Below are 24455 nucleotides of genomic sequence, written 5' to 3'. Positions count from 1 at the left end.
CGGGCGGATTATGAGGTCAGGAGATTGAGACCATCCTGGCTAACACGGTGAAACCCCATCTCTACTAAAAATACAAAAAATTAGCCGGGGGTAGTGGCATGCACCTGTAGCCCCAGCTACTCGGGAGGCTGAGGCAGGAGAATGGCATGAACCCGGGAGGTGGAGCTTGCAGTGAGCCAAGATTGCACCACTGCACTCCAGCCTGGGTGACACAGCAAGACTCTGTCTCTCTCTCTCTCTCTCTCTCTCTCTCTCTCTCTCTCACACACACACACACACAAGAATAAGAAAAGTCTGAGAAACTGTTATAGGCAAGAGGAAACTGAGGAGACGTGACAACAAAATGTAATGTGATCCCTGGGTGGGGGGTCCTGGAACAGAAAAAGAAATTAGGTAAAAACTGAGAAAATCTGAATAAGCAATGGCTCTTAGTTAATAATATGTCAAGATTGGTTCATGAGTTGTAACAAATGTACTGGACTGAATACCGTGTTATATATGTATCATTCTGTAACGTCTAACAGATGTGAGACAAACACCCTGTATTATTTTCACAAGTTATCCATAAATCTAAAACTACCCTAAAAAAACAAAGCTTATTAAGAGTCTAGGTGAGAAATGTACAAAAGAGTGGAACGAATGCTTCACCAAAGAAGATCTATGGGAGGCAAATAGACAAATGAAAAGATGCTCAAAGTCATTAGTCATTAGAGGAATACTGATTAAAACCACAATAAGTTACCGACATGCACCTGTTAGAAGGGCTAAAATGAAAAATTCTGAGCATTAATTAAAAATACCAAAAGTTGGCCGGGCGCAGTGGCTCACGCCTGTAATCCCAGCACTTTGGGAGGCCGAGGCGGGTGGATCACGAGGTCAAGAGATCGAGACCATCCTGGCCAACATGGCGAAACCCCGTCTCTACTAAAAATGCAAAAAATTAGCTGGGCGTGGTAGCGGGCGCCTGTAGTCCCAGCTACTCGGGAGACTGAGGCAGGAGAATGGTGTGAACCCAGGAGGTGGAGCTTGCAGTGAGCCGAGATCATGCCACTGCACTCCAGCCTGGGTGACAGAGCGAGACTCCATCTCAAAAAAAAAAAAAAAAACAGACAAAAAAACAAAAAAAACCCCAAAAGTTTTGGAGGAATGGGAACGCTCATCCACTGCTGGTGGGAATGAAACATGGTACAACTGCTTTGGAAAACAATTTGGCAGTTTATTAAAAAGTCAAACATATATTCTGGTTATATATCCAAAATAATTGAATAGGATCTGGAAGAGACATCCATGGGCACTGCAGCATTATCCACAATAGCCGAAAGATGGAAGCAACTCCAGTGTCCTTTGTCAGATGGATGGACAAAGAACATGTGGAATATATTCAGCTCTAAAAAGGAAGAAAATCGGCCAGGCGCGGTGGCTCACCCCAGTAATCCCAGCACTTTGGGAGGCCGAGGCAGGCAGATCACGAGGTGAGGAGATCGAGACCATCCTGGCCAACATGGTGAAACCCTGTCTCTACTAAAAATACAAAAATTAGCTGGACGTGGTGGCGTGTGCCTGTAGTCTCAGGTACTCAGGAGGCTGAGGCGGGAGAATCGCTTGAACCCAGGTGGCAGAGGTTGCAGTGAGCTGAGATCACACCACCACACTCTAGCCTGGACAACAGAGCGAGACTCCGTCTCAAAAAAGGAAGAAAATCCTGTCACATGCTACAGCTACAACATGGATGAACCTTGAGGCCATTATGTTAAGTTAAATAAGCCAGTCACAAAAAGACAAATACCGCATGATTCCATTTATATGAAGTACCTAGTGTAGTCAAAATCATCAGCACAGAAAGTGGGATGGTGGTTGCTGGGGGCTGGAGGAGGAGAAAAGGGGGAGTTGTTGATCAATGTGTGTAAAGGCTCAGTTTTGCAAGATGAAAAAGTTCTAGAGATCTGCTGCACAACAATATGAAATAGTTAACACTACTGAACTGTGTGCTTAAAATTTGTTACGTGTTTTTTTACCACAATTAAAATATTTGTGTATGTATGTTAAACATGAATGTACCATGCAATCCCGTCATTCCATTTCTAGGTATTTACCCAAGAGAAATGAAAGCATATGTCCACACCAAGACTCATGCGTGAGTGTTCATAGCAGCTTTATCCATAATAGCCCAAATCTGAAAATAACCTAAATGTCCATCAACAGGGGACTGGGTAAATGGGCTGTGGTATATGCATACAGTGGTATATTCAACTCTTTTGGTAGATGAGCTGTGGTACATTCATACAGTGGCACGGAACGTAAAAAGGAACAAACTATTTATACATTCAACAACATGGATGAATCTCAGAATAATTATGCAGAGTGAAAGAATTCAGATTTTTAAAAAAGAGTTCACATTGTAGTGAATTAATCTATAATGGCAGAAAGCAGATCAGGGGTTGCTTGGGAATGGCGGGGGGTGAGGGAAGGTGGGAGGGATCACGAAAGGGCATGAGGAAATTTTGGGGATGACGAATTATTCACTAACTTAATTGTGGTGATGGTTTCACAGGGTGTGTGTGTGTGTGTGTGTGTGTACAGAGAGACAGAGTCACTTACCAAACTGTGAGAGGGAAGAAGGGAGTGGGGGAGGAGGGCGGAAGAGAGGTTTGGCCAGGCATGCCTGAATGCCGGATGGATATTTTAGACATGGCATCCTCTGAGCTCCAACCTCACTCAGCACCCACATTCACACATCTGTGTGGGGAATGCGGATTTTCAAGCACGCCAGCCTGCGCTGCCATTCCCTTTGGCAGAAGGCCGCTGCAAGGATGGGCCGAGTGTAGACAGAGTGGCTTGCCTGGCAGCAAGAATAATTAATTCTCCTCCCTTGGGAGGGAGGAGAAAGAGGCTGTGAGAATGTGAGCTGAGGAATGGAGGGTGACACCTTTTGGGGTGTAGTTTCCTGCTGGAGGTGACCCCTACCCAGAAAGCAGCCCAGGGGAGGCTGGGCGGACTCCCATTTTCTGTTCCCAGATGGCAGGTGGGGATAAGAGTGTGGCTCTGGAGACCAACTGCAGTTTCTCAGTATGTGTCAGTAGTTCCTGTTCACATCTGATGCAGAGAGAAAAATCCAGTCCCACCAAATCCAAGAGGACTGAGGTGGTGGAGGTGAAATCTGCGCTGAGAAACCCGTGCCATACACTGGCAAATCGGAAGAGGAAGCAAAAATAGCTGGTAGTCAGCACGAGACCATTTCTCCTTTAGGAGTTGTATCTGTTCCTACTTGGAGTGATTCCAGGGCCATTGAAGAAGCCTGCCCCCATCCATATACTGGCTCAATTTTGGGGACAGATTCCTGAAGTGCCACCATCAGATTTCACCCAGCAGTAGGCGGGACTGACTGTGGCTAGGACTCAGCACTTTGACGTTCTCATGAGAGCTACCATTTATTTGAGCATTGTGATAAGGGCTTGTGGCTTTGCTCCTTTAATCTTCAAAATAAAACCATAAGGCCCCTTTTACAGATGAGGAAACTGAGGCCCCAGGAGATTAATTACCTGCTCAATATCACACAGTTAGTAGGTGTCAGGAGCTAGGATCTAAACCCCCTTTTTTTTACAGATTAGGAAACCAAGCCTTAGAGAGGGGAAGCAATTATCCGGAGGTCACACAGCTTGTGGGTGGGATGGGGGCCTTAGAGCTACTTGCCTCCAGGGCCCAGGTTTTCTCCATCCTGCTCTCCTGTCCGTCCAGCCTCTCCACCCCCCTTGTTGGGAGAAAGGACCCAGGAGAAAGTAGAGACAGGATAAGGGGAGCTTGGGAAGCAGGAAGGAATTTTGAAGAAGGGAAAAATAAGTGAGCACCTCCTAGGAAGAAAATCTCATCCAACCCCTTAATCTCACCCACAGAGTATTTTTTAAAGCTACATACACAAAAAGTTTACCACAGAATTACTCATAATCACGAACATTTGGAAACTCAAAGGAATGATCAAGCAAATTTTTCTGCACAGCTATGATGGAATATTATACAACTGCCAAAAAAGACAGTCACAAAGACATGTGGCAACAAGGAAAATGCTTCTGATGTAACATTAGGTAAACCCTTTGACCTGGTGATCCCTTTTTCTGAAAATAATTGATTCTAAATATGGCAAAGCTTTTGTTGATTTCTTTCTTTTTTTAGAGACAGGGTCTCACTCTGTTGCCCAGAGTAGAGTACAGTGGTGCAGTCATGGCTCGCTACAGCCTTGATCTCAAGTAGCTGGGGCTATAAGCGTGTGCCACCATGCTCAGCTAATTGTTTAATTTCTTGTAGAGCTGGGAATCTCACAATCGCCCAGGCTGGTCTCAAATTCCTGGGCTCAAGTGATTCTCCTGCCTTGCCCTCCTACAGTGCTGAGATTACAGGCATGAGCCACCACACCCAGTCCTGTTCATTTCTTTTAACAAAGATGTTTGCCATGGAGTTAGCACATAAAAGACATGTCATTGGAATTGTTTCTTCCACCCTGATAAAGCACAGAGAATATATAGGTGGAGGGACCACCATTCCAAACCTACATAGGGCAAGGGCTCTTCTCTGTGATTTGCTGATCAATAGGTCACTCAAAGTCTTACACAAATATAAACTAGTGACATCCAATTCTACATTAATAATGTGATTTTACTAGAAAGAGAATAAAGTGGAAGAGAATGAAATTACATGAAAATGGAATTCTCCAGGAAGATCTGAACTCTGGATTTCCTAAATAGAGTTTTTACATTCATAAGCATACATGCACAACTGTCCTAGACACTGTGCCCTTAGTTAACCCCAAAGCCCCCTTTACATGGAGATCCTACTTTCTGGACCCAGCGGTCTGGGCTGGGCGATGCAGCCTGTTAGGTCCCCACCCCCATTTCCAGCTCTCCCAGGTGAAGGGCGTCTCCGGGTCACAAATCTGGGGGGAATACCCCTCCATTCAGCCCTTCTACTGTTTGAACTTTCCCTACCCTCCAACACTGCCCTTACCTGGGGCCCCACCGGTACTTACTCAGCCGCCTCAAGTACAAAACTGCATCCTCGTACCCTCGGTAGTAGTAATCGTGCAGGATCTGTGGGCGGAGGCACCAGGAGAATTACCAAGGCTGCGGGGAGGAAGGGAGCCACAGTTCCCCCGACCCAGGGCAGCTACTCCCATTGCTCTTGAATTTTATTTGATGGGCTTTTCAAAACGTACCCATCCAGTGTCCCATCCCTCACTGTCTGCTAAGAAGAACCGAGGAGCAATTCCTGATCACACGCCCCAGTGATGCTCCGTTCATGAGTTACACCATTCATGGTGGAGCCTCGGCCTCCCCTGGGAGGAAAGTGTGGGGTGCTCATGGCAGAACCAGGTGCACTGGGGCCATATGAAGAGCAAAGTTTGGAGCCTGAGTTCAGGTCTCTGGGCTGCCCCTTATTGGCTGTGTTGCTGTCCCCTCTCACAGCCTCAATTTCTTCATCTATAAAATGGGGACAGTTATAATATTGATCATAGAGGATGCTAGAGGATTACATGAGCTACTGCCCACAAAGCCTTTTCTGTAAAGGGCCAGATAGTAAATACTTATTTTGGGCTTTGCTGGCCACATGCAGTCTCTGCCTAATGTTCTTTTTCTTTTTCTTCTTTTTTTCTTTCCCCCATAACTCTCTAAAAATGGAAAACCCTTTCTTAGCTCACAGGCTGTACAAAAACAAGCCATAGGCTAGATTTGGCCCGTGGGCTGCAGCTTGCCGACCTTTGATTTGGGACATGAACTGTCTGAATGGATGGGTTCAGTTAATATTTCTATCAGCACTTCTGGCATCATCTCGCTTTACCGGGGAGAATGTTGAAGCTGGGAGAGCTTGAGGCGCTTGTTCAAGGTCACATAGCTAGTTAGCAGCAAGGCCAGGATGCAGGTCTAGGAGGAAGTTTAAAGGACCATTTGAGGGGAGGAGACTCAGATGGAACTTGAGTGGGCCCCAGTGGCTCTCTAACCCCACCCCTAGTCCCTGGTACCTTCTGCTACTCCCCAGACCCCTCCTGCCTCTCACCACCAGGTCCGGGGGGAACAATGCGTGGGTCATCCTGGCGATGTTCTCCAGGGAGAACTGGAAGGAGCAGTTGAACATGCGGAAGTCGTGGAAGATGGCCGGGCAGTCCCGGGGACAGATGTCCTGCTGCCCACTGAAGGTGGAGATGGTGATGGCGTCGGTCCAGAAGGCACAGGGCTGCATGCCCGTGAAGCCCCCATCGATGTACCTCTGTGGGGGCAGAGTGAGAAATGCCCACTTGGGGCCAGAGTTCTCAGCCCCACTCGGGGTACATCGAAATGGCCCATGGGATATGGCACCAGCTTCAAGGGCCCATCAAGGAAGATCCAGAAGACCCCTCAGGATAAGCCTGGAGACGGAGGTCCTGGTGGGTGCGTGGTGTGCCCCTGGTCACTTAGTGAGTCTGCATTGGCCTCTGGACTCCCAGCCCGGTGCTCTGTCCTGCACTGATCCTCCCTCCACTATCTTAGTGGCGCTGAGACTGGGGCTCCCAGGGCTCTGTGTGCAGGGGACCCATACTCTGGGTAAAGCAGGAGACGTGCTCCTCTGCTACAGCCCCACCACCTGTTCACCCACAAGCCCCTTCCTTTCTGGGGCTTCTGTTTTCTCACCTATGAACGAAGGACAACAAATACTGAGGCTCTAACTCTCAGGGCTGGCTGACATGCAATACAAGCTCCATCTACTACCTGAATCCTAGTCTCTGGCCCTGACTTTCTCTGCATATAAAATGAGGAGGGGGCATGAGCTAGACCATCACCACTCAGAGTGTGGCCCACCCACCAGCAGCACGGGCAGCACCTGAGGCTGGTTAGGGGCGCAGACCCTCAGGCACTGCCTCAGACCGCCTGGATCAGAACTTGCATAATTTTACGAGACCCCGAGTGATTCAAGGGCACATTAAAGTCTGTAAGGCCCTGGCCTACAGGCCTCAGAAAACATCCTCATCATTTGAGTTTCCAGGTCCCAGTGCTTCATCTCCTCTGCTCTGTCAAGTCTGGGAAAACCTGCCAAGCCTATGGAGCCTTGATTTGCCCGGCTTGGCAGTGGGTAGGTGGGTCCAGAGAGGAACCCACCCCAGCTGGAGAAGTTCATCTTAAAGGCCCAGAAAGCCACCTACATTGGGAATTCTGAGTAACAACATGAGAAACTCTCCAACTCTAGGTCCTCCCGCTGCATTCTGAGACCACCCCCCTGCTCCCCCAGGTGTGAGTCACAGGGACCCGAGGTCCCTTGGATCCCATCTCACCCCTCACCATGCCGAAGCACTCACCACACCGCGGTAAGTCGGGGGGATGAGGCCACAGTACACCGGGACGAAGCAGCTGCAGTATAGGGCCTGTGCGGAGAGAACAGGGCTGAGATGCTGGAGGCCCGGGGGTGGGGTGGGGACAGCTCACCTGTCAGCCCCTGGGCCACCCACCACCAGCCCAGACCTCCTTAAATTCTAGGTGAAGGTGCCACACTGGGAAGCAAAGCTCCGAGTTCAGTTCCTGGCCTGGCCTTCACTAATTGGGTCCTTGGTAACCTGCTTGGTCCATCTGGCCCTGATGTCCCAGCTTTAAAGCAGGAGGGGGTCCTCCATAGCTTCGGGGTTCCTTCTGATGCTGAACTTTCATGAATCCAGTGGGATTCAACAACCATTAATGTGTGTCAGCCCTGGGCCAGGCCCTGGAAGCAAAGGAGGCTGAGAGGCCCACCTTTGGGAGTGCCCTATGAGAGGGAGTGAGCAAGTGGGTGACGGTGCAGTGGGGTGACAGGGGCATGGTGGAGGTGAGCATGGGCACCGTGGCTCCACAAGAGGGGTGCAGGCAGGGTGGGAGGGGATGAAGGGAAGTGCCCTGGCAGGAGGGACTGGGTTTCAGCAGCAGGCAAAGCAGTGTGGGAAGGAGGGAGGGGATCCCAGGCAGAGGGAGCGGCAGGTGCAAAGACCCAGAGGCCTGGCTTGTGTGTGGTTTGCTAGGGTTGGCATGGTAGGAGTGGAAGGTGGGGGAGAGGGCCGGGAAGAGAAAACTGCAGCAGTGGGCAGTGAAGTCAGAACGGGGGTGGGCGTGAGGAGGCAGATCTGGAAGAGCTGGCTGCTGATAAACCCAGGGGGCCTGAGGGACGGAGGTGGTGTCTGTGCCCACTGCCTATTCATCCCTCATCCCCAGGATTACTGCCAGGCCAGTATGGGATGAGGATGGAGTGGCGAAGCCCCTGTATGTGGGGGAAGGAAGGAGAGTGGAGATGTGGGAAGGAGGCCACACAGCTTAACCCCTTTGTCCCGAAAGACACTGGGACCTACCTGCGGCCCTTTCCAGCAATCATTATTCATAACTAAAATTAATATTAATGAGCTTAGGGCAGCGCACTCAGGATTAGCGTGCACTTTTCTAAGTGTTAACTGATTTGGTAACCATTCAATCCCTTATCAAGGGCCACTGGAAGAGAGGGGGCAGAAAGGGGACATGGGGGCCCCTCTCCCCTGACCGTTCCCACAAAGTGGGAGTAATTCTGGGGGGATGCATGGCAGCCCAGCCTGGAAGGCCCTGAAGGAGACCCAGGCCCTCTGCAAGTCACACCTGGGCCTCTGGGAAGCTCCAGGCTTAGCGCAGGGGGCCGGGCAGGATGGATGTGAAGGCCGAAGCATTGAGGGTGGCGGTCAAGCCTGGTTCGTCCTGGGCTTCTGTGTCCATCTCATCTAGCACTGCACCTTGCACAGCGAGACTCTGGGGGCATGAAGGAAGGGAAGGACTAGGGAAGTGAGGCAGGTGGATAAGGCATCGGGTTGAGCTGTGGAGAAAGAGCAGGAGCCGCCCTCCCCCGCCCCCTCCGTGTCCCTCCCTCCCAGCCCAGCCCCCTTGCCTCAATGAGCTCCTCCTTGGACGTGAACTCTGAAACCACCACATTCTCCCCGTCCGTTAAGCGGGTGAGGCTCACATGGAGCTTCCCCGTGGTGACCTTGTAGGAGTCCTCGGGCAGGACCCGGTACAGAAACTGCCTCATCATCTGCACCATCTTACAGGACGGGGACAAGGGCCCCAGGAAGGATTTCTTCACCTCGGCCACACCCACGTTGAGGACTCTGAGATACTCATCTGCAAAGGAAGCAGAGAAGAGGGGGTGGTCGGTGCCACCCAGTGGCCAGGGGCCAAGGGAGGTCTAGGGTGGTTTCTCCAACTCATCTCTGAATCCAACAAATGGGGAAACCTAGAATTCGGAAGCTGGGAAAACCCCAGGAATCGGCCTGCTGTCTTGCACATGACGGAAGCAAGATATTGAGGAAGGAAGTCGCTGGCTCCGGAGAGCCCAGAGCTAGGCAATGATGGAGCTGGACCCAGGCATCCTGACCTTTGTCCAGGAGTCATTACGTGACAGACACCTTCATATCAACAGCTAAAGGAACACTTTAGCCCAACCCCCAATAGCTTTCCCTAACTTCTTGTCACTCTGCCTGGAAGTCCACTGCCAGATGACATTTTTGGGGTCCTGTATGAGATTCCTATTAAAACACTGGTGCAGTTGGAAGTTGTTCCTAAGTGACGCCCTGGGATACTTGCTTGGTGCCCACTGAGTCTGTGGGCAGGGAAGGGGTGCTGGCCTTGGGCCGGTGAATCATGAGGAGGAGGTGAACTTTGTCTTGAAACCATTGCATCATCTTTCCTTTATGGCCCTGGTCCAGGTCTGAGAGGGAGATGACCCTGAGATATGGACTATGTAAGGCTCGCCTGTGCCATTTGCTCAGTGGGCAGATGCGCTATTCGGGGGTGGCAGAGGAGGGTGTAATCTTCCCCACCCCAAGTCCCCAGAACCCCACCAGGGAAGTCTGGGTTGTAAGCTTAATAAGAAGTGCTAACTTGCTTAATTCCCACAACAATACTGGGAGGTAGGTATTTCTATCTTCCTTTTACTGATCAGGAAACTGAGGCTCAGATAGGTAATATAACTTTCCCAGGGTCAGCGTCAGCCAGTTTGTAAGTGGGTAAAGTAGCATTTCAACCTAGGATGTGTGACCCCAGAGCCCAGGCTCCTGCTATTACACTAAGCCAAAAGCTTCTTCTGCAGCCGAGCCCACACCTGCTTTTTGCTGACCCCTGCTCATCTCTACCCTGTGCAAGCCTTTGGGAAAATCAGGAGTGAAAATAGCTCTGGAAAGGATTGCTAACTTTTTTAAAACAAACATTTATTTGTAAAATATGCTATGATACGCTATATGGTAGAACTTTCTTATGGTTAGTGTCATGTAGCAATGGCTACATGGGAAGCTGTGCGGTCATGAGTTTTTTGCCACAGGAGGTAACCAGGCAGAGGCTAGGCAAGTATCTCTGTCAGAGAGTTTATCAAAAAGATTCCTGCATGAGTGCTAAGGGCTAAGATTCCTTCCAACTTTGAGATTCTGGGATTCTCACAGGCACCTTGCAATATATCCGGGAAGTAATCAGTGTGCCTTACTCGCCTATTTATAAATAGAGCACCTGAGACACAGAGAGGTTAAGTGATTTACCCAAAGTCACATGGCAATCTGGGGACAAGCCAAAACTAAGGATGCCCTACTCCTCCTGTGTTTTATGGTTTACCGATTATTCCACCCCAGTCCTGGAGGTGAGTAAGAAAAGCTTCAGCACCATTTTACAGACGCAGAAACTGACACAGAGAAAAGCTAAGTGTCTTGCCTGAGGTCAGGCAGCCAGGCAGTGATTTTTCTGACTCCATACCCCACCTTCTTTCCCTGGGGCTTGGACTGATCTCAGGAATGAAGAGGCTGAGCAAGCCTGGGTTGCCATGGTGACAGCCTTTTTTTTTTTCGAACCTTCAGAATCACACCTGCATATGTGTAGCAGGGACCTCCCTGAGCAATGCAGCATCGTAATTGTCACCCTCCTACAGGGGAGGGTGCTCCTGGGAGGCAGAAAGGCCCTACGGTTTTAGTGAGGTTAGCCTTACCATGTGCCAACAGAGGTAAACAGTGTTTACCTTCAAGGGAGGGCAGCAGCTAACCCACTCACAGGTGATGCGGCAACTGCTCATTTGGATACCAAGGTGTTGGATCACTGAGGTCTCGCCCATAACACCAGCTGGGATGGGGAGTCAAGCCAGGGCAGGGAATTCTTAGTGAGCAGCTTAACACCTGGCAAGGGTCAATGGCTTTTCCCATGAGGCCTGAGAGCCAGGAACGCCTGATCTCCCAGCAGAAGCCACCCCTGGGAGGGAAGCAAGGAAATTTGTTCTTATTACAAAAATCAGACATGCTTATTGTGGAAAAACTTTTAAAAATGCAGATAAGCAGAAAGAAAAAAATTAAAATGTCTTGGAATCCCTCCTCCTAGAGACTAACATTTGGTCTGTCTTCTTAAGCTAAATATTTTATTTTTATTCATACTTATAAGGGGTCATATAATACACACTATTTGTAACTTGCTTCTTTCACCTAATATGTTGTGAATGTTTTTCCAGGTCAACAAATATCCATTTATAACCTAATTTGTTTTTTCAAATAGAGTTTTGTTCTGTCACCCAAGCTGGACACCATGATAGCTCACTGCACCCTGGAATGCCTGGCTCAGGCAATCCTCTCACCTCAGCCTCTTGAGTAGCTGGGATTACAGGCATGTGCCACCGCACCCAGCTGATTTTTTTATTTTTTTAAAAATAGGGTCTCCAGCCGGGCATGGTGGCTCACGCCTGTAATCCCAGCACTTTGGGAGGCCGAGGCGGGTGGATCATGAGGTCAGGAGATCGAGACCATCCTGGCTAACAAGGTGAAACCCCGTCTCTACTAAAAATACAAAAAAAAAAAATTAGCCGGGCGCGGTGGCGGGCGCCTGTAGTCCCAGCTACTCAGGAGGCTGAGGCAGGAGAATGGCGTGAACCCGGGAAGCGGAGCTTGCAGTGAGCCGAGATTGCGCCACTGCAGTCCGCAGTCCGGCCTGGGCGACAGAGCGAGACTCCGTCTCAAAAAAAAAAAAAAAAAAAATAGGGTCTCCTTATGTTGCCCAGGTTGGTCTTGAACCCCTGGTCTCAAGCAATCCTCCCACTTTGGTCTCCCAAAGTGCTGGGATTACAGGCATGAACCACTGCACCCAGCCTATAATCTAATTTTAAAAGCGGTATGGAAAGCTGTTGTAAGGTTATACCATTATTTATTGATCAGGAAACCAAGAGTGGTTGGCTATTTAGTTTGTTTCATTGCTTTTCTAAATAACGATGCAATGAACAATCTCATGCTAGCTTCTTTATCCATATACTTATTTTCCTTAGGATAAATTCCTAGAAGTGAGGATGCTAGGTCAAAGGCACGCATATTTAAAGTCTTATAATGCTTACTTTAATGGTGGCTTTAGTATATTATTCATCTACAGTCAACTCTCACCTATTCAGGGGTAGGGTTGGGTGACAGGAACAAAACAGTGGACAAAATAATGCAAACAGTGTCGACATTCCAAAGTACTCACATCTGAAAATGGTGCTATCTGGAAATTAGCAATGCTCTAGCCAGTCATGTAGCCTGGGAGGAAGAGGGCAGGAAGTTGTCTGATTCTCTCAGTCTAGCTCTCCTGCTGCTGGCTGAAGCCACACACCAAAGGATACTGTTATCTCTGCATCTTCTTACTTCTCTCCAGGGGTGTGTGTGTGTGTGTGTGTGTGTGTGTGTGTGTGTGTGTTTCTGTCTGTCTTCAAAGTCTCTGACTGTCTTTCTCTGTGTCTCTTTGTCTCTGTCTCTGTCTATCTCTCTCCTTTCTCTCTCTCCCAGCAACTAATCTGGTTAAACAAATCTATGCTGGTAGAAAGTTAAGTGTTAAGCACAGCAATTGCTGGGTGCTGAGAAAGGGGATAAATTTAGCTTATTTATGTATTACCATATTTTCCAGCACCTTCTCCCATTTAAAGGCCTCCTTCCGAGCTGCAGGCTGCCAGGCTCTGAGACACAGAGTCCCACACTAACCACAGCAAGGTTATTAGAAGCAGCACCGCGGACCCAATGTGTCCTGATCAGGGTACTCAAGGTTGACTGCTCCCACCCCTCAGCCCACCCTAGGCACATCCACTTCTGCTCAGAGGAGGGGATTCTCTGAGGGTAAATCTGGTTCTCCTCCTCCTCTCACAATAGCCTGTCACTGAGCTTTGCCCATAGGAAGCTCCTCAGAAACCTCCCCTGAGGGCTGGAAATTCCTCCAGGGGAGAGATGGGCCATATTCTATGCCCACCAAGGCTCTCAGTGTGTGAACAACGGAATATAAAAACCTGAGAGCAATGGAGATGCCCCCAAGGAAGAGCTACTTGACTTAATTACCCAATAAAAGCTTGAAGGCGAGATCATCCCAGATAGATGGATAGACAGCGAGAGTTAACAATATTGATTACTGTGGTCAGCTCACCAGGTTTTATGAGTCTAATGTGCCAAGAAAAATAAGTAAATAAGATGCTGGGTCAATGCTGGGTGTGGTGGTTCATGCCTGTAATCCCAGCACATTGGGAGGCTGAGATGGGAGGATCGCTTGAGCCCGGGAGTTTGAGATCAGCTCTGGCAACATAGCAAGACCCCTGTCTCTACAAAAAAAAAAAAAATTTAAATTAGCCAGGCATGGTGGCATGCCACTGTAGTCCCAGCTACTCAGGAGGTTGAGGTGGGAGGATCACTTGAGTCCGGAAGGACGAGGCCACAGTGAGCCATGATTGCACCACTGCACTCCAGCCTGGATGACAGAGTGAGACCCTGCCTCTAAAAAATAAAATGTAAAAAGATGTTGAGACTGGGAGATTTTTGAACGGCACTTGGAAGCTATGTTTCCAAGTTTCAGCCACTCAGAGAGTCTTTCTTTTTTAAATTTAATTTAAACTTTTTTTTTTTAGAGACAGGGTCTCCCTCTGTTGCCCAGGCTCCTCAAAGGATCCTCCCACCTCAGCCTCCTGAGTAGCTGGAACTACAGCATGTGCCACCATACCAGATAATTCTTTTTATTTTGTAGAAACAGGGTCTCACTCTGTTGCTAAGGCTGGTCTCAAACTCCTGGGCTCAAGCAATCCTCCCATCTCAGCCTCCCAAAGTGTGGGGATTACAGGCATGAGCCACTGTGCCCAGCTGATCAGAGAGTCTTTCCATGACCACATCCATTTCTTGGAAAGAGCTTAGGCTTTGGAGCCAGGCAGATTTGGTTCAAATCCCAGCTTCACCACATGCTATCTAGATCATCACTGGCCACTTAAATAACACCTTTCATCCTCAACTTTGTTGCCTGTAAAATTAGTATAAGAATACCTACCTTACTGGATTATGATGAGGCAGACAGCTTTTAAAGTGCCAGCACATAGTAAATGACCAAATATTGGGTATGGCAATAATTTCTTATGTGACAAGGCATTTTGATGATTCAGACTCTCAGACTGCTCATCTGAACAGGAGACAGTGATCCCTGCCCCCACATCCTTATCAAGGTGTGGTCAGGCTCATGTGTGGAATCAAAAGAGCAAAATACGAGCTTGGAGTAAGAGGGTGCACCCCAGTTTCAGAGTAGTGTAGGCCTGACTGGGAGACACTCCCTCTCCTGTCAAGTTGGGGGACCCTACAGATATAGTAGGGGGAAAGAGGGGCTAGAAAAATCATCAAAGGGGGAAGAAAAGGGATAATTGTACATGCGTTTATTTTATTTGTTTAGGTGGATAATGTTCCCCTCTTCACGAGGGCAAGGACGGTCTCTGTCTTGTTCATTCTTTTGTCCCTAGCACTCAATATAGTGCCTGGAATACGGTGGGCACTTAAGAAACATGCACGCAGGCATGAATAATGGATGAATGAATGAACTCCAGAAACTGAAGCGGGATACTGAGGTCTAGAGAGAGAAGTCGCTATTCAAGATGACCCAGAGGATAAAAACAGAAGGCTTCTCTTCCCCAACTCCACATGGCCTCTTGCGAAATGAAAAATCATAGAAAGGCGGGCAGTTGGGGCTGATAATTTAAGCTGCTGAGGATGCCGTTCACAGGGTACCGGAATTAGGTCTGCAGTGAGGGATGGATCTGCCACAGAGGATGGGACTGCGGGGCCCCAGGCTCAGGGCGCACTGGTAGCCTAGCAACAACCTCCGGTTCAACCAATCGCTGCGAGGCGGCGGCGCCGCCGGCCCTGCTCCCAGAGCAGCGTGCGTGGTGGGCGCGCGGGAAGCAGGGGGCGCAGCAGCCCCTGGGGAGGCGCCGACGAATGCTCAGAATCCCTGCATGGATCACCTGAGAGTTGGCTGCTATCTGGTCCCTAATTGCAGACTGAATTGTAATCTGCATTTTCCTGTGGGTATATCTTGAATACCCTACCCCAACGTAATAATAATTGTTATCATCTTAACAACAATCGTTTCCCTAAACAGGCTTTCCCACCTATTATCTCAGTTTATCCTCACAGTGACAGCCAGCCTCCGAGGAGCAGTGACCCTGGTTTATTTACCATTTTATTTCTATGCCCTACACTGCAGGGGTATTGATTGAAAAACAATTTGGCTTGAAGCTACAGTGTCACTACTAGAAGGTTTACAGAGACCCTCTGGGGCAGTGAGTTTTCAGTAAGGGAGGCTTTGTTCGAAAGAAATCTTAAGTAGAAACCCAATATATAAAACAGCTAAAAATGTGGCTGTTCTGGGTTGAGGCTGTTCTGAGACTGTCCCATCGCCCCACCCACCTTAGGAAGGTAGCCCCCAAAACACTGCCCTGAGACTCCTAAGATTCTGGGATCCTAGGTCAGAAATACAAGTCCCAATGAATTCTCACATTTTACAGGTAAGAAATCTTGCCCAGGAAAAAGATGAGCCTCAGTAAATGTCAGCCGGATGGATGGATGGATGGATGGATGGATGGATGGATGGATGGATGGATGAGTGGATGGATGGTTGGATGGTTGGTTGGATGGATGGATGGATAAAGGAAGGACATACCCTAGGACCTAGGTCACACAGTTTTTGTTTGCAGAAATAGAACTAGAATGTATGTGAAAACTCACATTTTGCTGCTCTGCCCTAAATGCATTACAGGGTTTCACCAACAGCAAAACAACTCTGACCTATTCAGCACTTCAAACCAAACCAAACAAAACAACATCTTTAATGGATAATAACAATCCTCCACATAGACCTTCTTCTAACCCTAAGAGTTTACTAAATAATTGGATTTAAAAGTTCAGACTGGCTTATATCCGATTGTCATGGAAACAGAAGTGTCTTCTGCTGATTCATCACCTGTGCTCCTAGCAAGGTGTCCACAGGACTCTTTGCTTGCCCTCAGGTAGAGGGCCTGGGGCCTCAGCCCTCACCCTACTATGAGCTTTTCCCCCCAGAATCCAGGCACAACCTCCAACATCCCACTGCAGGTTCTTACTGATCACCCTGAGGTGAAACAGGCAGAGAGGGAATGCATCTAGAAAGTTCCCTGGAAATGATCATGTATTCAGGGCCATTGCCCCTGCTCTTTTCTCTCTGTTTTCTTTGGTGGACCCAGAAGTCCTTTTGGGGCCCTGCTCCAAGGTGGAAATTAATTCTGCCTCTCATCTAGGCTGTGGCCTATCCTGCCGTACAGATTCTCCATGCACTACCAAGGGGACACTGGGATGATGCAACAGCTGTGAACTAAGTCACCCCCTAGTCTTAAGACTCAGCTGGACTTGAGGTCTGATGAGGCAAACCACAGGCAGTGTGCTCTGTCAATCCTGCTTCTAACTTGTGTTCCCACATGGATGCATACTAGACTCTGAGCTAGGGCATAGGAGGAGATTCTTTCTTTTTTTGTTTTTTCTTTCTTAATTTTTTTAGAGATAGGGTCTCACTACATTGCCCAGGCTGGACTTGAACTCCCGGGCTTAAGTGATTCTCCTGCCTCAGCCTCCTGAGTAGCTGGGGCTACAGGTGCACCACCATGCCCAGCTGAGGAGATTCTTCCTTACGTGGTGATTTCGTAAGGACAGAGTTGGGTTACCCACAGGATTCATGGGTGAACTCCTAACTCAGGGGAACCAAAAAAAGTCTGGAGGTTTATTTACCATTTGTTTGGCTGTCTTCCCCCTAGAATTGGAAAAAGAGCTCAACTGTCTTTCTTGAATTTGAGCCCAAAGTGAAGCAAAGAAAACAATGCTATTTTAATACTGTCTAAGTGAGTTGGTTTAAAAATGGATCCTCCAAATGCAGTGTGGAATCCTGGATTGGATTCTGGGACAGAAAAGAGACATTAGTAGAAAAATTGGTGAGATTCTAATAAGTCTGCAGTATAGTTAATAGGAATGTACCAATATTGATGTCTTAGTGTTGGCAAATGGACCATGGTTATGTAAGATGTTAACATTAGGGGAGACTGGGTGAAGGATACGCAGAGCTCTGTACTATTTTAGCAAAGTTTCTGTGAAGCTGACATTATTCCAAAATAAAAAGTTTATTATTAAATTTTTAAAAAAACACAGATCAGGTCAGGTGCGGTGGCTCATGCCTGTAATCCCAGCACTTTGGGAGGCCAAGGTGGGCAGATCACGAGGTCAGGGGTTCAAGACCAGCCTGGCCAAGATGGTGAAACCCCATCTCTACTAAAAATACAAAAATTAGCTGGACGTGGTGGGATGCACCTGTAATCCAGCTACTTGGGAGGCTGAGGCAGGAGAATTGCTTTAACCCAGGAGGTGGAGGTTGCAGTGAGCTGAGATCTTGTCACTGCACTCCAGCCTGGGTGACAGAGCAAGACTCTGTCTCAAAAAAGTTAAATTAAATTAAAAACACACACATACACACAGATCAAGCAAGGTTGTTAGGGATACAGTGCCTGGCACTCACAGGGGCTCAGTTAGCACCTGCTGATACCAGGTGGATGGATTAACATATGTCACCTACATGAGTTGCTTTCCAAATAGATGTTTCTACTGTGTAACCAACACATTCAAAGCTTTACCAGATCTTCCATTCAATGCTCTTCTACTAAAAAGTCCAAGGGATTGTTTGGGGAAAATGAATCTTTATCCATTTGGATAGAGACGTTTAAACATGTAAAGCATAAGTTCATTTGAGTGAGATGGAAGATACTGGTTCCAACATGGTAGTGGGAGCTACAACAACTATCGCACAATGACACCATTTCCATAATATTGTATAAAAAGTCCTTTTGTATTTGTCATGCCATTTGATCTTTCTTTCTTTCTTTCTTTCTTTCCTTCTTTCTTTCTTTCCTTCCTTCCTTCCTTCCTTCCCTTCCTTCCTTCCTTCCTTCTTTCTTTCTTTCTCTCTGTCTCTTTCTTTCTTTCTCTCTCTCTCTGTCTCTCTTTCCTTCCTTCCTTCCTTCCTTCCTTCCTTCCTTCCTTCCTTCCTTCCTTCTTTCTTTCTTTCTTTCTTTCTTTCTTTCTTTCTTTCTTTCTTTCCTTCTTTCTTTCTTTCTCTCTTTCACAGAGTTTCACTTTTATTGCCCAGGCTGGAGGGCAATGGTGCGATCTCGGCTCACTGCAACCTCCCCATCTCCTGGGTTCAAGTGATTCTCCTGCTTCAGCCCCCCGAGTAGCTGGGATTACAGATGCCTACCACCATGCCCGGCTAATTTTTTGTATTTTTAGTAGAGACAAGGTTTCACCATGTTGGCCAGGCTAGTCTCAAACTCCTGACCTCAGGTGATCCACTTGCCTTGGCCTCCCAAAGTGCTGGGACTACAGGTGTGAGCCACTGCACCCGGCCAGATCTCACTTTCTTAACCAATGTATAAATAATTGCTTGACACATGGAGTGTAACAAGAAAGCTGTCATGTTGCTTGCAAAGCAATTTCTGAAATCATGATTAGAGAGGATGTAGAATGTAGACATTTAGAGAAATCCCAGTCTTGGCTCTGTTGTATAAACCTGGGAAAATTATCTAATCTCTCTAAATCCCTGTTTCCTCATTTGTAAAGTGAGTATAAATATAGTGTCTGCTTCATAGGGTTGTGAGGGGATTAGAGTAAATGATGCATATGAAGCACTTAGCACGGGACCTGGCACATTCTAAGTGCTTGGTAAATAGCTGTTATTCAAAAGACACTAGGATGGGAATTTGAGCAGAATACCTTTTTACAGAAAACACTTCCATCTCAGATAACTAATTTTGGGAGTGATTTTTAATGAAGACATTTTGATTCTGAAAGTGTACCCAGCAGCCAGGACTGAAATCCAAGTTACATCTGGGCAACATATACACGTACACACCCACTCACACTCACCCACACACCTGCAACAGGAAAAAATGGAGGTTCTCATTCATGTATTAAGGAACACTGGAGAGACTTCCAGCTCCAGTAGTATGGTGGGCTGAGCTAAAGAGGAACCTTTCCAGCTTCAGAAACAAGAGATCAGGTGCCATGGCTCATGCCTGCAATCCCAGCAATGTGGGAGCCGGAGGCAGGCGGATTGATTGAGGCCAGGAGTTCGAGACTAATGTGGGTAACATAGTGAGACCCCGTCTTTACAAAAAAAATTTTAAAAATTAGCCAGACATGGTGGCACGTGCTTATAGTCCCAACTACTCAGGAGGCTGAAGCAGGAGGATCACTTGAGCCCAGGAATTCAAGGTTACAGTGAGCTATGATGGCGCCTCTGCACTCCAGCCTAGGTGACAGAGAAAGACCCTGCCTCAAACAACAACAACAATAACAACGAAAAGCCCAATATTAAATACAATATAAAACAGTTACAAGACATGGTTGAACTCACAAGAAAGGAAGAAATGAAGAGGGAACTGAAAGCCAGTGGCATGAGAAGGAAAGCTGATGATGTGGTAACTGTGGGGACTGTTATCAGACAAGAAACTGGCAGGGACAGGGACTACGTTCTTGGGCTGGGTGAAATGAGACCTCTGCTTAAAGCTAGGACCCTCCAAAGGCTGCTGGGCTATTACAAGGTGCCAGTGGCTTGTGTCTGCCCAGGGATCTGGGTGAAAAAACACAGCCTCCCATAAAAAATGAAAGACCCAAATCTGTATTGCATATGGTTTAGAGCTTGAATTGATACAACCTACAGAGTAATTAACATGAAAATTGGTCCCAAGTCAGCAATAATCCTAGGGTGTTTGGCCGGAGCCAATGCAAACTAGCTGAGATGGGTCCTTCCACTGCCGGGGCCACACAGAATTCCTGCAAAAAAACCAAGTCCTTGTGCAGATGAGCTCACAATTACCATGAAAAACATTGCTCAGGCCAGGCTGGATTCCAGTCATCTATGTTTTTGTTTTTGTTTTTTGAGACGGAGTCTTGCTGTGTTGCCAGGCTGGAGTGCAGTGGTGCAATATTGGTTTACTGCAACCGCCGCCTCCCGGGTTCACACAATTCTCCTGCTTCAGCCTCCCGAGTAGCTACGACTACAGGCACGCACCACCACGCCCAGCTAATTTTTGTATTTTTAGTAGAGACAGGGTTTCACCGTGTTGGCCAGGATGGTCTTGATCTCCTAACCTCGTGATCTGCCTGCCTCGGCCTCCCAAAGTGCTGGGATTACAGGCGTGAGCCACCACGCCCAGCCTGTTTGTTTTAATAAAGTTTAATTTGTTCTCTGGGACATTCTTGACTTTGGAAAGTGCTGCTTTATCTATGCTTTTCTATTTCAAGGTAATTTTCTTTTCACGTATTCATCCATTCATTCAACATTCATTCTTCAAAGACTTATTTTGTGACTAATATTTGCCAAGCACTGGGCCAGGAATGCATCCATGACTTCTTTTGTCTTTCACCATAATGTCCAAGGGATGTGTTTCCAATCACCCAAGTTACAGATGGCAAAACCAAGGGCGAGATGGGTCCCTGGCCAGCCAAGAACCTACAGAACTTGGGGGCAGAGTTGGAAGTTCAGCCCTAGCCCTCCTCCTTCCTGGGAACTCTATTCTCCACTAATCCTGGCTATGTCTCATTCCTCAACTGAGTAACAAAGATAGGTGCATGAGTGACAAAGGAAAGGAGTTACTAAAGCGAGGTTCTCAAAGAGGAAGGCTTGACTCCCCAGTGCCAGCCCCAGTGGACCAGAATACACCTTGAGCCACCTATCAATGACAATAACCAGCCAGCCTCAGCTCCAGGGCCCCAGGAGAATTTCAGTTACTGGGTGGGCAGGAGCTGCCAAAGGTAGCACTGGCCCTAGTGTGGGAGGCCAACCAAAACACTTCTCCAGTGCTCTGTCTCCATGGGAGAAGTTGTGCTGGGTCCTGTTGTGCACACATTTGCGGGGCAGGGGGCAAAACACATGGCTCCTCTGGACCTCTCATGTGTTTTGCAAGATCCCTTTGAAGCCTGTTTCCCGTCCAGAGGGACAAGCCATCTCCCTTTCTGAGAACACAAGCATGTTTTCACCGGGGGGCAACTACACCTGCAGACCTGTCAGCCTGGAACTCTCTTCCCTCAGTGCACGTGGCTCTCTCCCTAGCTTCATCCACCTCAGAGGGGCCTTCTGGCCAGCCCACCCAACACTGTGCCCCTTGTGTCATTCTCCCATCCTTCCCCTGCTTTATCTTCTCCTTTGAGCACGCATGCTGACCTTTTTTATATGCTTAATTTTCTATGGTTTAATTTCACCAAGAGAATATCAGCTTCATGAGTGTGGACATCCACTGCTTTGCTCACTGCCAGATCCCCAGGACCTAGAATGAATGAGCGAATGAATGTTCTATTTCATCACCGTAATTCAGCCAAAATCTGATCCTCAAACTCCTTGTCTGCATCTTGAGGGAACTGGGCTCAAACAGTGATTCTCAAACTTTAAAAGAAATTACTGAAAGATTTTCTTTACATATAATTTTAGCAAGATCCCCCATGTATAAGATGGACAACAGCGGGGCTGTACTAGTGCAGCCGGGGCTTCAGACGTGTCTGTCCCCTGCTTTTCCTCCCCATCTGCAGAACCCTAAGGATCCCTGGAACACAGTTTGGAAACTATTGGCTTAAGTGAGGTCTGCCTCCAACTAGTCACTTTCTCTCCCAGGGTCTAAATACAATTATCTGCAAAATGAGGGAGCTGGACTTACTGACCTTGACACTGTAACATTCTAGCGTTATATCTCATATCCATAACTACAGAAAATTATCCAAGAGCCAGGGAAACTATAAAATACAGATAGCAAAGACACATTCAGTATCACACTGGCCAATAGCCAGCAAACACCAGGAGTTTATCAAGGAGTTCTTGTTTTATGAGCAGTTTGTGGGAGCCATAGGACCCACAAGATCTCAGATTGCTCAACCAATCTAGTTGATGAAATGAGACACTGTATCTGAAACAGTTAAGACCGTACAACATCAAATGCTAGAATATGTGGGCAGATTTTATGGGCAAACTAGACATCATGGAAAAGAGAGATGGAGTGGGGTAAAATGGGATGGTGTCTGGAGAGGAGGTTTTCTCTCTGAAAGGGGGGCAGAGGGTCATTCTAGGCAGGAGACACAGTAGGTGCCATGGTGCATTGCCCAGGCCCCCTGCTGCAAGACTGAGGCACTCATGCTCCCACTGCCACAGGGGCAGCTGCTGGTGGGCCAGAGCTGAGCCCTTTCCCAGACAACAAACTGGACTTGGCTTTGTGATTGTTTGTTTGTTTTTAGAGACATGGTCTCTGTCTGTCACCCAGGCTGGAGTGCAATGGCAGAATCATAGTTCACTGCAGCCTCAAACTCCTGGGCTCAAGTGATCCTCCCACCCCAGCCTCCTGAGTAGCTGGGACTATAGGGACAGGTCACCACACCTGGCTAATTATTTTATTTTTTGTAGAAACAGGGTCTCACTTTGTTGCCCAGTCTGGCCTCAAACTCTTGGCCTTAAGCAATTCTCCCGCCTCAGCGTCCCATAATTCTGGGCTCACAGGCACGAGCCACTGCATCTGGCCAACTTTGTGATTAGGAAGTCATGGTTTTGGTCTCAGGCAGGGGCAGAGTTTCTCCAGGATCCTCATGCCATTGATTATGGTTGTTGCAACAGAGACTACTGGTTGTCCCCAATACCCATTCTCCCCTTCTTCCTTTGTAATCGAACCTCCAATTTTTAGCTGGCCACATGGCCTCCCAAAAATAAAGTCTACATTTCCTGGGTTCTCTTGCAGTCAGGTGTGACCATGTGACTAAATTCCAATCCATGGGATGTAGCTGACAGGACATGTGTTACCTCCAAGTCCTGCTCTAAAGGACTGTGCCCTTCCCTTTTCCCTTTCCGACTAGCTGGAGTGCAGATATGGCAGGGGGCTCTTGGACCACAGGAAAGGCAACGCCTTTCAACTCCTGACGTCAGTTGACTTGCACTGTTTACCATGCTCTGGAGGCATCATGTTTCCCCACTGTGTGGCTTTGTCGTGTTGTCATGCTATGTCCTTGCTGGAAGCCTTGGTTCCTGCCCAACCTGTCTCTACCTGTCCAACTTCTCACATTTCAAGCATGGACAAGCTCAAATGCCGCTTCTATGAGGCCTTCCATGTTTGGAAGTGTTTTCTCCATCCCTCTGCACTCCTATGCCTTATAATTCTCTAACATTCAATAGGAACTTTCTTGTATTATAACTGTTTGGTAGGTGCCTTTAAGTTTGAGTGGACTGTAAGCTCCTTGCAGCAAGATCAGAGTTTCATTTTGTGTTGTATCTTCGCATCCTCTGCAGGGCCTAGTATGTGCTCAACTAACACGGAAGGAAGCAAGGAAGGAAGGAAGGAAGGAAGGAAGGAAGGAACGAACGAACGAAGAAAGGAACGAAGGGACGGACAGATTGGCTTGCCAGTTTTTTATGGGGAGAAAGGTGCCAAGAAGTAGCTTAAGTGGGAGTAGGGTTTTAAGTCTGCCAAATCACTATTCTTCCATAAGAAACATTTTGTTTTTCAAAATTATGCAAATGCAGCTTTGAGGCACGTTTCCAACCCCACTTCTGACAAGATTGGAAATTCTGGATCCCCCAGTGGCAATCACGGAGACCACCCCTCCTAGGTGAATGAATGGATTAATGAAGGTTACCACATCTCTAGTAAAAACCAGGCACTATGTTAAGTGCTTTTACAACATTTTCATGTGCCTTGAACTGGCCTAGTCACAGAACTGGGCATACACGCCAGAAGTTGCACCTCTGCCACCTCAGCTTTCACAGGAAAAAAACACAGGATCTCAGGATAGAAAAGCCCCAAACTGGCTACAAAAGTGGGGAAGTGGCCTTGAGAAGAGCCTCAGAAAATGCTAGCTGGGTGCGGTGGCTCACGCCTGTAATCCCAGCACTTTGGGAGGCCGAGGTGGGTGGATTGCTTAAGGTGAGGAGTTCGAGACCAGCCTGACCAACGTGGTGAAACCCTGTCTCTACTAAAAATACAAAAATTAGCTGGGCGTGGTGGTGGGTGCCTGTAAGCCCAGCTACTCGGGAGGCTGAGGCAGGAGAATCTCTTGAACCCAGGAGGCGGAGGTTGCAGTAAGCCGAGATCACACCACTGCATGTCAGCCTGGGCAACAGAGCGAG

The 24455-nt window shown here is 47.9% G+C and overlaps 1 protein-coding gene across 7 annotated transcripts in view, besides 1 other annotated feature; it reads right to left on the bottom strand.

Moving 5' to 3' along the window:
- PNPLA1 (patatin like domain 1, omega-hydroxyceramide transacylase) overlaps positions 1 to 24455 on the bottom strand; it is a 70788-nt gene that overhangs the window by 13514 nt on the left and 32819 nt on the right. For 5 of the 7 annotated variants that reach the window (XM_011514520.3, NM_173676.2, NM_001374623.1 and 2 more), the window contains exons 2-5: positions 8890 to 9122; positions 7316 to 7381; positions 6043 to 6252; positions 5018 to 5078 (exon numbers count right to left, since the gene is read on the bottom strand). In XM_011514520.3, coding sequence (XP_011512822.1) covers positions 5018 to 5078; positions 6043 to 6252; positions 7316 to 7381; positions 8890 to 9042 — 490 coding nt within the window. In that variant the 5' untranslated portion in view covers positions 9043 to 9122. Of the gene's footprint in view, positions 1 to 5017; positions 5079 to 6042; positions 6280 to 7315; positions 7382 to 8606; positions 8789 to 8889; positions 9123 to 24455 lie in introns of those variants that run through there. The other 2 variants (NM_001145716.2, XM_017010779.2) reach the window with 2 other exon arrangements.
- Positions 14316 to 14501: a silencer, noted in NCBI's record as "fragment chr6:36253718-36253903 (GRCh37/hg19 assembly coordinates)". NCBI's record gives its function as "represses an EF-1alpha promoter that drives an FKBP-Casp9 reporter gene in an ReSE screen in K562 erythroleukemia cells {active_cell/tissue: K562}" and the evidence as "EXISTENCE:reporter gene assay evidence [ECO:0000049][PMID:32094911]".

The sequence above is a fragment of the Homo sapiens genome, chromosome 6, assembly GCF_000001405.40.
Source record: "Homo sapiens chromosome 6, GRCh38.p14 Primary Assembly".
NCBI lineage: Eukaryota > Metazoa > Chordata > Mammalia > Primates > Hominidae > Homo > Homo sapiens.
This window is presented reverse-complemented; position numbering and strand designations above follow the sequence as displayed.